Source organism: Homo sapiens, chromosome 17 (genome assembly GCF_000001405.40).
Source record: "Homo sapiens chromosome 17, GRCh38.p14 Primary Assembly".
Lineage (NCBI taxonomy): Eukaryota > Metazoa > Chordata > Mammalia > Primates > Hominidae > Homo > Homo sapiens.
In genome coordinates this window covers 68,731,881-68,748,487 of record NC_000017.11, presented here as the reverse complement: position 1 = coordinate 68,748,487, position 16,607 = coordinate 68,731,881, and the positions used below count along the sequence as shown (strand labels likewise).

The window sequence follows — 16,607 nt, the reverse complement described above, 5'->3', positions numbered from 1 at the left end:
AAATCAGGTCACGTTGCTCTGCCACCAGAATCTACCAGTGGCTCCCCTTCATTCTTGATGTAAAATCTAAACTCTTTCTCTTGACCTACAAGGGCCACAGGATCTGATCCCACCTCTGACCCCTTTTCCTCCTGTTCTCTTTCTCTTGCTCTCTGTGCTCCAATCCTGCTGACCTTGGATACACAAATTTTGGGGCTTATATTGTTCTAAATTTAGATTCTAAATCTTTGCACGGGTGGCTAGTTTACCATCTATCTAAAACTGACCTCCCATTTCTATGGCCTACTACCCTGGTTTATTCTTAAAAGTATATTATTTCTTCATTTGTTTACTTTTTCTTGTAGCCCTCACAATTCCCAAGTGTCTAAAATAATGACATGTTGTAGGTATTCAATAAACGTTTATTGAAACAGATGGAGAGATGGATGGATTCAGTTCCAAAGCCTACATGTGTGTATGTGTGTGTTCATTTATTTACTATTCTGGAAGACTGACACTTAGCTCTACAACACTAGAGCATCTAATTGATCATTGATGCTGTGTTTCTCGACAGTGACCTCAAATGGATTACTGACTGACCACCTGCAGAGGAAATTATCATCACTTCCCTTGTGGGACTCAGTATCAGAAATAGTGAGAACTAAGGAGTATCTGTGATAGGACAAGTAAACCAGAAATCAAAAGACGTATGTCTAAATAGAATAACTTAGGACCCAAACTAGAGGAATACAGAAATGAGCGAAGGAGTCCTGAACCTAGATGAGAAAAATCACAATCTCTGTTGGAGAAGAAATTTCTTCATTTTCCACCATGTTCCAAATTATGGATGCCTTATGTCTTCTGCCCACTCTAGCCCTGCTCCTCCTTATCTATGTCCTAGCTTAGTCAATGTTCTCATCATTCACCCACCCACCCTCCCATGCCTACAACCTTGGTGTCAGCCTACGATTCCTTCCTCAGCTTCATGAATGTTCCTTGTATTCAGTCGATTTGCATATCAGGTCAATTTGATCTCACCTTCTTCTTGCAACCACAATCTTAGTTCCTGAGCTCTTGTCTCTAAGCGGACCTCCACATTACTTCTCAAAGGATCTTTCTAAGTAGTAAATCTGATTATATAACCTCCATACTTAAAACCTCTTGAAAGGATAAAGTCCAAATTCTGTAATATGGTTTTTAAGGGTCTTCTGCTCATCTCTCTGGCTTCAATATCTGCTTTACTCTCTCACTTTTACCACCGTGAGCCACACGTACACAGTTGCTCTCCTTAATCTCTTTCTATCTCTCACACATTCTCTCTGTCTGTAACATTCTGTTTTTGTTTTGGGGGGTTTTGGTTCCGTTTCTGCTTTGGAGATGGGGGTCTCCCTATGTTGCCCAGGCTGGTCTCAAACTCCTGGCCTCAAGTGATCTTCCCACCTCAGCCTCCCGAGTCGCTAGGGTTACAGCCATGAGATGCCACATCCATGTCAAACATTCTTGCTGCCTCGCCTTTCCTAATTACTTAAAGCTCCCTAAACACATCTTGGTCTTTCTAGTCCTTCCTTAGCACATCTTGTTTCCTCTACTCATCTTACAGGACTCAGTTTAAGCATCTTTATGTTCAGAAAAAAACAGTATTTTCCCTGATGTATGAGAAGACATTTTTTTTTTTGCTTTTTTTTTTTTTTTTTTTTTCTGAGACGGAGTCTCACTCTGTTGCCCAGGCTAGAGTGCAGTGGCGTGATCTTGGCTCACTGCAAGCTCCACCTCCCAGGTTCATGCCATTCTCCTGCCTCAGCCTCCCAAGGAGCTGGGACTATGGGCACCCACCACCACGCCCAGCTAATTTTTTTGTATTTTTAGTAGAGACGGGGTTTCACCGTGTTAGCCAGGATGGTCTTGATCTCCTGACCTCGTGACCCACCCACCTCGGCCTCCCAAAGTGCTGGGATTATATGAGTGAGCCACCATGCCCTGCCTTTGTTTGCATTTTTAAAATAAACCCTTTTTACATGATATTCTAATTATTTATTTACACGTCTGTTTTTCTAGCTACACTGAGTGTTTCTTGAGGGCGAGGATTATATTTTACGTTTGTTTCTCCCAGAACCTAGTTCATAGTCAGTACCAATAAATGTTTATTAAATGATATAGACAAAGGTAAGATTAAAATGTATTATTGATTTATGTCTTTCTTTGGCTGCTGGACACAAGCAATCGCCATCCGTCTTAAATAGATAACATCAGCATAAGGCTCTTTTCCGTTTCTATACATATATCTTAGCCATCAAATTAAATGGGTTGTCATTGGAATGAATCACAGCCAACACACTACTATATATTTAACATTCAGGATGTTGTGGGTACACAAGCCTCTTAGAAGTGAGTTAGGATCTTCAAATAAAATAACTTAAATCCAAGAGCCACAAACACAGGGGATTTAGATGGGTTTCCTGATCTGCATAAGAATGACTGACATAGGATTCTTTAACATTAACACAATCCAGAAACTCATGGAAATGTTGACTTTTATTCTTTCTTTTATGATGAAAGGTTTCGGGCATCCTCTCCTACAAGTGTCTGCAGACCATGATGCTGAAGGATCATATCGCCCACACCTGAATGACCCTCCAGAGGAGCAAGGCAACTTCTCCCTTGTGCTTGTCCAGCAGCCTGTTCCCTCCTTCTGATCTCCTGTGCTGATTCAGCCAATCTGCTCAAATTGATGCAAGAATCAACCTGCATCAAGGCGCCACTGTGTGAGTCTTGTATGATAGTTACCACCAAGTTAGACACCACTGAAACGGGAGAAGTTTCTTTATCCCCCTTGCAGGGCATGAAACAGGAGTGTGGCTCACTTCTTCAGTGCCCTGCTGCTCAAACCCCTAGGGGAAGCATGAAGATGGGCAGGTCGTGGGGTGTGTTTTGGGGCTCCAACCCCACAGCAGCATCTAGGGTTGAGTGTTTACAGCTCCCAAAGCCCCAGTGGACATGTGTTACATTGTGCTCCTTCAGCTTTGCCACCTGCAGGTGGCTTGTGTTAATCAGCTCAATTAGACCTTCTGCCTTATTGCAAGGACAGAGGGCTTTCTGTATCCTGGGTTCTTGCCTTAGTGTACAGGAAAAATTGGATCACTCGTGGGCTTGGAGAATAAGTGCAAGGTTTTACTGAGTGGTGAAAGCAGCTCTCAGTAAGGTGGATGGGGAGCTAGAAAGGGGAATGGAGTGGGAAGGTGGTCTTCCCCTGGACTTCGTCCACCCAGCAGCCAGACTCACCTCTGACCGTCCCTGGCCAAATACCCCTTGGCATCCACGTTGTTCCACCATCGATGGCTTGCTGGTGTCTACTGGTGTCTGTCAGTGTGTTCTGGACATTGTGCACCTCCCAATGTCCAGCCACTTGTGTCAATGCCTGCTATGGTCTCGGATTTTTATGGGCACAGGATGGGGGGCATGGTGGGCCAGAGTGGTCTTGAAAAATGCAATATTTGGGTTCAAAAACAAGAGTGCCTGTTCTCACTTAGGTCCATGGGCTTAGGCCCGAGGGTAGAACCCTCACCAAGGACCCCACCCTTCTCTACCCAGCACTTCCCTGCCCCCTTCCTGTATCATTATGATTAAAAACTCTTAGGGTCTAAAGCCAGGCTGATGAACCAAGCAGAGGATATGACAAAAGTAGATTTGGCCTCTAGTCTGCTCCTCAGTTATGCTGGCCATGTCTGATCTAAACGGTGAAAGTAGGGATGTATGAGATGAAAGAAAAGGGAATACAACCTTCGTATGAGTTCAAAAATGACCAAATGAAGGTGATCTGGAGTAGATATCTGCTCTTCAAAACACTTAGCCATTTGTGATAACTTGTGGTTATCTTCTTGCTTTCACTTCATCTGCAGACCTCAAACAATAGCCCCTGGAATCATATGTGACTCAAACACTTCTTCAGTTGTGATTCCTAAATAGAAAACATTATTCTCTGGCAGAAACAAATGCTACGGAGCTGCGAAAAAGGAAATCCAAGTACAGCCAATGTCTCAAAGAGTGTTTTAAAAATGAAGGAAAAAGAAGCTTTCAAATACACTATTACTTCTCAACAGCACAATTGCTCCTTCAATGTTGAAAACACTCTCTCTGGTATCAGGAAATAAATTACCTTCATGCTAAGTCAAAGGACAGGCTGGAGAACTGGGTAGGAATTTATCCCATTTTCCCCACCTCCACCCCTCACCACTTTTCCAGGAGAAATTCTAAAGTTACACCCCTTCTCAGCCAGGGATCCTGCAGGGAATTAAGCCCTCAGATCCTAGGACATGCATTGTATTAACTTATCTTGTTTGCATCGAAAATGCTCCTAACTCTGTACTATCTATGGGAGAATTGAGAAAATAGTCATTCAAAGCATTTTCTGTAGGACTTAATTCTCTCAAGGAACACCGGTTGAATAAGTCTGTAGGTAAGAGACTAGATTTTGTTTATTAGCAAGCAGAGCTGAACATCTAAGTGAATATTGTCTCTTATAAAGTAAATATCTTCCTCTGATTCTCATATCTCAAAACAGCTTTGGGACTACTTTTTGGGAATGAACTCCATGGCCCATAGCAACATTCCTTTGACTCTTCAGCACTGGCAAATTTTCATCTTTTCTATGAATTGCATTGAACTAAACACAAATATAGTGAAATGTGCAAGCCTTAAGTATGCAGCTCAAGAAACTTTTACAATGGCAAGACATTCACTCAACGGCCTCCTAGAACCTCCTACATTTTTTATTTTATTTTATTTTTTTGTAGAGACAGGGTCTCACTATGTTGCCCAGGCTGGTCTTAAACTCCTGGACTCAAGTGATCCTCCCACCTTGGCCTCCCAAAGTGCTAGGATTATAGACATGAGCCACTGCACCCGGCTTTTCACTTTTTTTTTCCAGTCATAGCCTTCCTCCCAAAGAAAACCACAATTCTGACTTCTATTACTATAAATTAGTTTTTCTGTTTTGGTACTTTATATTAATGAAATTTAACAATATATAAAAATTTCAGTCTACTTTCTTATTGTCACACGTAGCCCTCATTTGTAATTTTTCATTACCATATGATATGCCACTGTTTGAATACATCATATCCATCATAATTTGAAGCATATTTGGGTTTTTCTCACTTTCTGGCTACAGTGATAATGCTTCCGTCAACATCTCTCATACATTCTTTTGGCAGACGAAATGTTTTATTTCTATTGTTTATATATCAAATAATGTAATTGATGGGTAGTAGGGCATGCATATATTCATAGGTTTAATAGATATAGACAAACAGCTTTTCAAAGTGGTTATATAAATTTACACTGACTAGTATTGTATGAACATTCCATTTACTCCAAGTTCTCAACACTGCTTAGTAACCAAAACACAGGGTCAGTCACTCACCACCAGCAGAGTCTAACTAACAAGAGTGAGGTCTGGTATAAAGAAAGTGACTTTTTATTCCTAAAGTAGTATAGGGGAAGTACAGGCTTCCTGCCTTAAGTATCCTTAACGGTACTGCTTCACTTTTGCAGCAGAAAGTGGGTGCTTTTAAAGAGGGAGTCTATGCAGAGGTGGAAATGAACAAGTCGGGGCCTGCATATCACATTGGTGCCTTACCTATCGGGCAGTAGAGTTGGCATTTTCATGGGCAGAAATAGGTTGTAAAGGTGGCTGAAAACTCTCTGGGTGGGAGAGAGTTTTGTAGCAAACATACTTTGGGTTATGAGTTGACTATTATCTCTCAAGGCAGTCTCCTGGTGGGTGAGAGTTCCTCTCTGGAGCTTCTAAGCACATAGTTACATGAACTTGATCTGCAGCAAGTATCTGGTGAGGGGAGGTAAGAGGTTATAATTGCATTTCTAAAGGGCTAAGTAGGAAGTCAGGAATGGGGGAAATAGAGTAAACAGAAATGAAGAGAAAACAATTTTTAAAAATAGTAACTCATTCTCTTTTTTCTTAGAAAAAATAATATTGCCTTTTGTACTAGGTTACACTAATGACAGTTAAATAATAATGTTGCATGTCGTACTAGGTTACGTTTTTGGTTTTTTTAATTTGGGCCATTTGGGTGTCTAATAGTATCTCATGTAGTTTTAATTTGCATTTTCCTGATGACTAATAACGTTGAACATTTTTTCTTTGTTGAATGTCCAGTTAAATAGTCTCTTTGGGAAGTAATTTGTTTACCCTTTTTTTTGAGTTTTTTTCCTTAATGATTTGTAGAAATTCTTTATAGATACTAGATATAAGTCCTTTGTTAGATATATATTTCAAATTTCTTTTCCCAGTAAATGAGTTTTCTCTTTTATTATAGCATCTTTTGAAAAACAGCAATATTTTATTTTCATGAAGTCCAATTTATCAAATATTCTTTCCTTTCGTTTATTGTGAATCCTGTTTAAAAACTACTATCCACCCTAAGTTTAAGTATTTTCTCTTTTTTATAGAAGTTTATTGTTTTACCTTTTATATTTTCTAGAACTGATTTTCCTATTTGGTGTGAGTAAGCAATCGAGATTATTATTCCCATGTGAATATCTAATTGATTCAGCAACATTTATTAAAAATGTCATCTGTCTGTGATGCTGTAACGTCGTTGTAAATTAGGTGACTGTATATGTATGGAATTGTTTTTGCACACTCTTCTCCTCTACCATTGGTATACCCTTAAATCAATAACATTCTTCTATATTTACTGTAACCTCATAATAATATTATCTGTAGTGTAGAGCCTCCAACTCTATTCTTCAAGATCATCTTTAACATGGTTGGTCACTTGCTTGTCTATATAAATTTTAAAATTAGTTTGTCAATTTAAAAAAAACTTCAAAGATTTGATAGGATATTGGATGTATAAGTTGGTTTGGTGAGCATTACCATCTTTACAATATTTAATCTATGACTATAATATGTTTTTCCATTTATTTAGAGTATTACTAATTTCTCTTGAAAATTGTAGTGTGTTAGAATTGTGGGTCCCCCAGCCCAAAAGATATTTCCACCCAAAACCTGTGAATGGGACTTTGAAACAGGAGAGTTCCCTGATCGCCCTCACAAGACATATAACAGGGGTGTGGCTCCCCTCTTTGGTCTCTGCCACTGCTCACACCCCTGACAGGAGCAGGAGCACACAAACAGGTAGGTGCAAGAGCCGGGGTGAGTGCTTTGGGCTCTGGCCCCATGGTGGCATCTAGGGGTGGGTGTCTGAGGCCCCAGTGTTACAGTGCTCTTATAGCCTTGCCATCCACAGATGGCTTAAGTGTTAACCAGCTCAATGGACACCTCTGCCTTTTCACAAGGGCAGAGGGCCAATGTGACAGCTTTCTTTATCCTCAGCTCTTGCCCAGCATCCCAGAAGAATCAGGTCACACATAGGCTTGAGGGATGAACATGGAGTTTTACTGAGTGCTGGAGGTGGCTGTCAGTGAGTTGGATAGGGAGCTGGAAGGGGGATGGAGTGGGAAGTTGATCTTCTCCTGGAGTTTGGCCATCTAGTGGCCAAACTCTTCTTCAACCAAACCCAGCCGGACTCCTCTCAGTGTTTAGACGTTCCTTCTCTTCTCTGCTTCTCTGTCATGCCATTCCACCATTCATCTGCTTGTCTCCTCATCTCCTTGTCTCCTCATCTGCTCATCTGTCTGCTTGTCTGCTTGTGGAGCCTGGGATTCGGAGTTTATATGGGTACAGGATAGGGCGTGTGGAGGGCCAAAAGGCAACTTTTTGGGTGTGAAAACAGAAATGCCTGTTCCCACTTAGGGCCACGGGTCTCCAGGCTTGAGGGTTGTGCCTTTGCCAGGGAACCACCCTCTTCTACCCAGTGTTTCCCTTTCTCCTGTTCATGTCATACTTATCAGGAAAAGAGTCTTTGTAGATATAACTAATGTTAAGGATCTTGACATTTAAAATTTTTCGAGATCATCCTGGGTCTAGCATAAGTCTTAAATCTAATGTCAGGTGTCCTGATAAGAGAAAAGCAGGAGATTTCTCTCACACACACACACACACACACACACACACACACACACACACACACACACACACACATACGGGAGAAGGCTATGTGAAGATGGAGGAAGAGATTAAAGTCATGCAACCAAGGAATGCCCGGAGCCACCAGAAGCTGGAAGAGGCAGGGAAAGAGTTCCCCCTGGAGACTCCAGAAGGTGGATGTCCCTGCCAACATGTTGGCTCAGACTTCTGACCTCCATAACAGTAAGAGAATAAATTTCTATTGTTTTAAGGCACTAATTTGTGCCTTAAAAGGCACTAATTTGTGGTAATTTGTTACAGCAGACCTATGAAACTAATACAATAATTTTTATGGTGTTCTATGCAAAGATAATAAAATCTCGTTTAGACATATTTCTAGATTTTTTAAGTTATTGGTGTGACTGTAAGAGGTGTCATTTAAAATTTTTCATTTGTAATTATTGGTACTGTATAAAAATACAGTTGATTTTTCTATGTTGACCTTTTATCCATCAACCTTGCTAAATTTACTTATTAATTCTAATTGTTTGCTAGTAGATTCTTTTGAATTTTGTACATGCACAAATAGTGTTTATATATGTGGCTTCCTCAAATAGTAATTGTTTCATTTATTCATCTGCCATTTTTAAAGGCTTTTTTTTTTCATTGCTTTATTGCACTGACCTTCTATGCCATACTGAAAATAGGTGGTATTTGTAAGCATCCTTATCTTGCCCCTGATCTCAGCGGGAAAGCTTTCAATATTTCACCATTAAGCAGGATGTTTGCTATAAGTCCTTTATAAATAACCTTTATCAAATTTAAAAAGTTCCCTTTGTTTCCTAGTTTGTAAGGTGATTTTTTATCATGAATAGGTGTTGAATTTTATCAAATATTCTTTCTGCATCCAATGAGATTATTATGTTTTTTAGTCTTTATTCTGTTAACATGGTGACTTACATTATTTGATTATCAAATGCTAAACCAAATTTGCATTCCAGGAGGCAAATTTGCATGATGTGTTACCTTATACGTCACTGGGTGTGATTTGCTAGTATAATGTTTAAATTTTTACATATTTTTGTAAGAGAGATTGGCCTATAGTTTTCCTTTCTAGCCAAGTTTTTGGTATCATTCTTTTACAAAATGAAAATGAATAACCTCCAATTTTTTTAATCTACAAAATTCTTTCTCAAAATGTCTATATTTCATCTTCACTTATTAAGGGATAGTTTTTCTGGGTGTAGTTTTCTATATTAGCACCTTTTTCCTTCGGCACTTTAAACTTATCATTTTATTATCTTCTGGCTTCTATAGTTTATGTTGAAAGACAGCTTTTGGCCATATAATTTCTCCTTTGAATATAATATGTCTTTTTTCTCCAGCTGCTTCTAACATTTTTTTACTTTCTTGGTCTTTCTGCAATTTTAATAGGTTGGGCTGTCTTTACATTTACTTCGCTTAGTGTAAGAGATTCTTCAATTTGTGAATTGATGCCTTTTGTCAACTTGGAAATTATCAACCAGCATCTTTTCAAATACTGTTTCTCCCTAACACCATTTCTCCTCTTTTTCTGGCACTCCAATTACACATGCTAGCCAATTTCAGAAATTTTCATAGGCTTCTTATACTTTTTCTATATTTTCCATTCTTTATTTTAGTATCTGTGCTCCAATCTGGGTATTTTAAAAGAGAATTTACTAGCCATTTCTTCTTCTGTGTCTAATCTGCTATTAAATCCATTTATTAAATTCTTCATTTCTTATGTTATTTTTTAACCTATAAATTTCTACGTCTTTTTATCCACAATAAAATCATTTCCAATTCTCTAGTGAAATTCTCTATATGTTCATTTGTTTTTTAACATATTTATAATATTTATTTTAAAGTCTGTGTCTCACTACTGTCTGTTTTTCCTCTTAGGACTGGGTTGATTGGCCGTGCTTCCTGGTATATCAGGTCATTTTAATTGACTGTCAGACATTGTATGTAAAAACTACAGTGGTTCTAGGTGATGTTATCTTTCTCCAGAGATGATTAATTTTCTTCTGGCAAGCAAATATGGTTAGTCTCATCACCTTGATCCAACAAGGGATGAAAATCATGTGTTTTCATCCAACAACGGATGAAAGCTCTGTTTCAGGCTTTGTGAGAGCTGGTCAATTTCTGGTCACCTTAATCCTAGTGCATAGCACCTGATGAGGCTCAACTAAAAGCCTAGGATGTTCGCCAGGCCCCTCCTCCTTGGCAAGCTCTGAATTTCAATGTTTGTCTCTCCAGCAGTGAGACTGCTGAAACCTCTGCTTAGCTTTTTATCTTCTAAGCTACTATTTTCTGCTTGTTTTTTTAGATCAGCGCTCTAGGCATGTGGAATTTAGTAATCAGTAACTGCTTCAAGTAGAAATAGCACTTAGAATGTGAGGCTTATTTCTCTCCAGTTTACTGTGCTCTGGGACATTGGCACCTCACGTCCTGGCTGCCTTGGTAATCCTAAGCTCAAGTTTTACCCTTAGTCCAGTATAACTGCTACAAGCTCCAAGCAACCTCATTTGGTTCTCTATGACCCATGATGTACATTTGCAAATTCCCTGAGGGGAGCATAACACGTAAACCTCACTTCAAGGTATTTTCCTTCTCACCTGAATCTGGGCCCCTCTTGTTCAACTGCTTTGGCTAACTTCCAATACCTTCACAGAAATGTTTATGAATGTTATCCATCTTTCCTAGTTATTTTCAGCAGGATCGTTAATCTGCTATAAGTCATTCCATAGTTGTTGGAAGCAGAATCTTTATTTTACATTTCAAATTTTTGAAAATGAGCAAATTAGCCACAAACAATTTCAGCAAAAATGTTATATATATACACACACACACATCTAGGGTTGTATTTTGTAGGTTAAGAAAAAGGATGGCTATAAAACAATTTTGCCAGTATGTGCAAGGGTTAAATGAAAATACAGATGATTCATACTGGCCAGATGTAAGACACTAAGAAATGGAAGACCTCTGCTAACTACTAGAGACTGTGTGTGTCCCGTGTAAAGGGGTCAATAGCTTTTCAGCCCTAGATCTAATCAGCCAAGCTTTTCTGTAAGGGCCAGATATTAAATGTGTTAGGCTTCGTGGGCCATACGGTCTATCAAAACTACTCAGCTCGGTCATTGAAGTGTGAAAGCAGTCATTAGACAATAAGTAAACGGTGGGTCCGGCTTTGCTCCAAGAAGATTTTATCTACAAAAACAGGTGGTGGCTATATTCATGAGAGACATTGGCTTGTTGTTTCTTTCTTTGTACTGTTGTTTTCTGTTTTGGATATCAGAAAAATGAGTTGGGAAGTGTTTCCTCTTCTATGTTTCTGAAAGAGATTTTATAGAATTAGTGTTAATTCTTCCTCAGACATTTGGTAGAAATCTCCAGCAAAACCATCTGAGCTTAGAGATTTCTTTTTATGAAGTTTTTAAATTAAAAAATTCAATTTCTCATATAGTTAACAAGGCTATTCAAATTATCTATTTCATCTTTTGCAGTGGTTTGTGCCTTTGGGGGAATTGGCCCATTTCATTTAAATAGTCTATTTTATGTTTGTAGTGTGGTTTGTAGTATTCTCTTATTAGCCTTTGGATGCCTGTAGAGTCTGTAATGATATCTTCCGGTTCATTTCTGGTGTTGGTAATAGGTGTTTCCTTTCTCTTTTTTCTTTGTAAATTTTGAAATTGAGGTTTCTCAATTTCATTGATCTTTCCAAAGAATCAGATTTTTGTTTCATTTATTTTTACCTATTTTAGATTATTTTTTAAAAAAAGCACTCTGCCACTCTCTTACTTTTCTTTCCTTTTCTTCGTCTTGCTCTTCCTTTTATTTCTGAAGGATATTTTCACTGGATGTAGAATTGTGAGTTGACAGTTCTTTTCCTGAGCACATTATGCCATGTCCTTCTGGCTTTCATGGGTTCCAAGGAGAAATTACAGTGAAAATGTTATCTTTCTTTCAATCTTTTGCAGACTTTTTCTTTGTTCTAAGTTTCTGGATTTCGCTTATGAGGTGTGTTGGCATCAATTTCCTTGGTGTGGATTTCTTCAGGTAGGGGGCTGGATTTGGCCCACAGGCCCTGGCTTGCTTTACTCTGCCTGGATGATTGATGCTACATGAAAATCCAGGCTCAGTATTGTCAGACTTTCTGATTTCTTTAAGAGAAACTGGAAATCCAGAGTTCTTTAAAACTTGAAATCACCTGAGTTTTTAAGTCTCCCAATAAATTCTAATTTTTTTCAGCAAAGAACTGGACAAAAAATGAAAACAAACAAAAAATCTTCATACCTTCAAAGGCCATGGGACATATTTGTTAGATATTAATGTGGTACTCTTTAAAATTGTAAAGTGTCATTCTTTGTTTCATTTAATGCTTTTTTTGTGCCTTTACTTTAACTTTGATACAAAAATAGAGATTCATACTTTTTTTTTTTCAAGACAGGGTCTCACTTTGTTGTCCAGGCTGGAGTGCTGTGGTGCAATCACAGCTCACTGCAGCCTCAACCTCTCAGGCATAAGCTATCCTCCCATCTCAGCCTCTGGAGTAGCTGGGACCACAGGCATGCACCAACCACCAAGCCTGGCTAATTTTTAAAAAATTTTTTTGTGGAGACAGGATCTCACTATGTTGCCTAGGATGGTCTTGAACTCCTGGGATCAAGCAATCCTCCTGCCTTGTCCTCTCAAAGTGCTGGGATTATAGATGTGAGCCACCAAGCCTGGCCCATACTTTCTTTTAACTTATATTTGCTTGTCATGCATTTTCCCATCCTTTTATATTGAATTTCTATGAGTCACTTTGTTTTAAACATGTTTTTTTCTCAGCTTATAGTTGGGTTTTGAGTTGAGAAGTGTTTCCTCTTCTATGTTTCATATTTTTAAATCATATTTTTAAATTATGGGTTTTAGCTCAATTATAGTAATTGACATGCTAGATATGATTAGTCTTAATTTGTTTCTTCTCTGATGAATGCATGGGCTTTTATGCATGGCTTCTGAAGACAAAGAAGTAACGATTATAGAAAAGGCCTACTCCAGCAAAGATCTGGAATAAGCATGTCATCAAGATGACTACATTGATAGGGTTTAATGATGTTTAATGCTCCCAGGGATGTACAGCTTTTGACATAGCAGATATTTAAAAGGCCATTCTCATTTATTTATAGTTAAATCACAGATTCCTTTCAAAGAAAATCATTGGAGAATAAAGCAATTATACTTCCCTCCTTTCTTTCTGCTTCCAATGCCCAAAGGAGCCACAAACCAGTTAGGGTGGTGGGTTTTTAATGTTTCCCATACACCAACTGGCACCTCCACATCCCTTAGCTGCTGGCTGTCAAGCAGCTGGCCCTAATTTCAAGAAGTGGAAGAGCTCAGTCATGTGACATTTGGGACTCACTCTGCTGCCCAAAGCAATTGGAAAAACCTGTTCTGTTTTTGCATTCCTAAAACTCAAGCTGCCAAAAGGCAGAAAGGAATCATGAGAAAATTACTTTTTCATCTCAGGCCTTCTTTTTGTCCTAAATAGGGAAAATTGATATGGGAGAGCTATGTCATCCCTTTGTCCAGTGGCCCCTCTCCTATATCATGGACCCTGGATTTACTTCCTTCCTCCCTTGTGCCCTATGCTTTTTGGATCCCATGTTTACACTGAGAGAGGCAGGAATCAAGGGGGTTGAGGGCAGAGGGCTGCTGCCAGGAAATATCGAGAAGCAACGGAAAAGCAGAGCATCTCTTTGGCACATGGTTGATGAGATAATGGACTCTCCAGGTGAACTCCCAGGCACCTGGGATGGAAAAAAAAATCACCTCTCCTTCCACTGAAACTGAAGGGCTCAGAAGGATCAAGTCATCCTGATCCCAGCCAACCTGAGCTGGCAAGGACCTGACATTGTGTTTTCTCAGCCTTAAAGACCAGCTGTGTTTTGTACAGCACAGCACAGTGAAGCAGCAAGCCCAGTTACTTGATTCTCCATTAGTTCCTCACACAAACAAGAGTATCCATGATCCAAGTTCTAGTGAAAAGGCCTCATTGCCTGGGGTGGCACCCGAAGTTCTTTGTCTGACAGCCAAGGAAATCAAGGACGCAGACACACCAAGGGTGAGGTTAGAGCAGAAGTTTACTGGGCAAAAAAAAGAGAACAGCTCTCTGCTGCAGAGCGGGGTCCCAAAAAGGGTTGCCATTCTGCAGTGAAATGCAAGGGTTTTTATAAATGAGCTAGTGGGGAGGGGGTACCTTATCTACATAGGGTACAAAAAACAGTTAAAACGAGGTGTGTCATCTGCATAGAGCATGAATCTCTGGCAGTCCCCATCCCAATCTTTTATTATGCAGGCGGGTCCTTAGCCTGAACTACTCTGTCTTGTTTATCTCTTTCCTACAGTGCATGTGCTAAAGGAGAGGGGATGGTGCTCCCACAATGAGCATGCCTGGCCCAAGGTAATCCTTTCTATCAGTGCAGCTGCAGGCATTCCCCATGCAAGTTTCCAACTTCCTTATCTGAGTATGCCTAAAAAAGGAAAGGAATGTGCTTACTAAGCCCCACTGTGCTTGCTGGGACCCACCGTATGTATGTGAAGCTAGCTGATTACCCAGGAAGCTCCCTCTCTGTGCCAGAGTGCACTTCCTTATCTATGTTTGCAGCCCAATCTTCCAGGCTGCTCTTTGTTAGAAGAGAAGTGATTTCTTGGGCTGCTTTTCGTTAGAAGGAAAGTTCTGCCGAGGACTCTGCCCTATCTGCCTTGCTAGTTTCTTTCTACTGTCTCTCTCACTAGTTTTTCAAAAGTCCTTTTCTGGGCCCCAAGGAGGGTGATTTGATGAGGATAACATGGGACTTGATGTGGATTTGAATATTGTCTCTACCACTATTTGTAACTATTTGACCTTCAACAATCAATGCCCTTAAGAATGCAGTGAGATATGCACAGAGTGCCTGTGACATCACTGTATGGGTCTGAACTCTCCAGAGAAACAGAATCAAGTGGATATGGAGAGAGAGAAAAAGATTTATCTTAAGTCATTGGCTCACACAACTGTATAAACCTGGTGAATCTAAAATCTGACTGGGGAGGCCAACAGACTGAGGACTGACTCAGGAAAAAGTTGAACTTCAAGTCTGAAGACAGTCTGCTGGTGAGCCAGGAAAAGCCAATGTTGCAGATGAAGTTGGAAAGCAGTCTGCTGGCAGAACTTCCTCTTGCTCATGGGAGGTTAGTCCTTGTTCTACTCAGTCCTTGAACTGACTGGATAAGGAGAACTCATATTTTGGAGGGCAATATGCTTTACTCAAACTCTACTCACTTAAGTGTAAATCTCATTCAAAAACCCCCTCACAGAAACATCCAAAATAATGTTGGCCAAATATCTCAGTGCCATGGCCCAGCCAACTTGACATTACCACTGCCAACAAACACTGGAGATCCAGTAAATATAATTCCTTCTTTCTCATTTCCCTAATTCCTGAACTATTAACTCCTCTTTCTCCCAGCTCCTTTACTTTTTTCTCTGTCTTGGGCCCTTTGGTCACTGACAGTCTCTGTCACTGTAACTGCCCAATGGGTTCTTCCTTACTACTGCACAAACACATACCATGGCATTGCAGTGAGGAAAGCATTTAATTGACATGAAGCCAGCCATATCACACAAGAGACGGAGTTATTACTGAAATCAATCTCATTGAAGGTTTATATGTTAGGGGTTTTTCAAAGATCATTTGAGGGAAGGAGTAGGGGCTAGGCAATGGGTGCTGATGGTTGAGTTGGAGATTAAATCATAGGGAGTTGAAGCTTTCTTCTTGCACTGAGTCACTTCTGGGTGGGGCCACAGGAGCAGCTGGCAGATCTAGGTGGAGCCATGGGTGTCAGACATGCAAAAAAACCTGAAGATATCTCAAAGGCCAATCTTAGGTTCTACTGATAGTGATGTTATCTGCAGGAATAATTGGGGAAGTTGCATATCTTGTGACTTCTAGAATAATGGCTGGCCATTGTTTATGTTTACACCTTAGCAGAATTTAGGCTCCTCTCCTCCTCCTAGCCTAGTGGTCTCTCATTAGCTTTACAAAGGAAGTTGAGTTTTGGGAAAGGGCTATTATCATTTAAACTAAATGTGTCCCAAAGTTACCCAGCCTAAGCCCAGGAATAATTAAGGCAGCTTGAAGGCTAAAGGCAAGAAGGAGGTTAGCTAGATCAGATCTCCCCCCCTCCCATTTCACTGTTATAATTTTTGCAAAGGCAGTTTCATGATTGCTGAGTGAGAATTGTCTCCCAGAATGCTTGCCCCCAGAATATTCTGCATGTGCTTTTAAACTGCCATCTGCTTTGCTCCTGATAACCCTCTGTCCTTCACTGTGCCCTTGCCTTCTTGTTCTACTGGCCTAGGCACTTACCAAATGTTTACTCATCCTCAAGGCCACCTGTCTGACATTACATGCAGTCTCCCCTCCACATTTTTATCTCCTCTCAAGAAAATTAATGATGATTATACATAAAAATAACCATGAAGAGGAAATAGCAAAGACTGAATTTAAATTCTTCTTGATAATCACCTGTTTCAAATATTTCTGTGTTCCATTTCTCTTATATTTGGCTTCCTGGTCTTTACTTTTGAGAA

At 39.8% G+C, this 16,607-nt stretch overlaps 2 annotated features.

Moving 5' to 3' along the window:
• Positions 14,326-14,620: an enhancer, noted in NCBI's record as "tiled region #8583; K562 Activating DNase unmatched - State 9:DNaseU". NCBI's record gives its function as "activates a minimal TATA promoter and a strong SV40 promoter by Sharpr-MPRA in K562 cells {active_cell/tissue: K562}" and the evidence as "EXISTENCE:reporter gene assay evidence [ECO:0000049][PMID:27701403]".
• Positions 15,637-16,218: an enhancer, noted in NCBI's record as "OCT4-NANOG-H3K27ac-H3K4me1 hESC enhancer chr17:66728411-66728992 (GRCh37/hg19 assembly coordinates)". NCBI's record gives its function as "activates a minimal SCP1, AML or CMV promoter by ChIP-STARR-seq in primed H9 embryonic stem cells {active_cell/tissue: H9 hESC(primed)}" and the evidence as "EXISTENCE:reporter gene assay evidence [ECO:0000049][PMID:30033119]".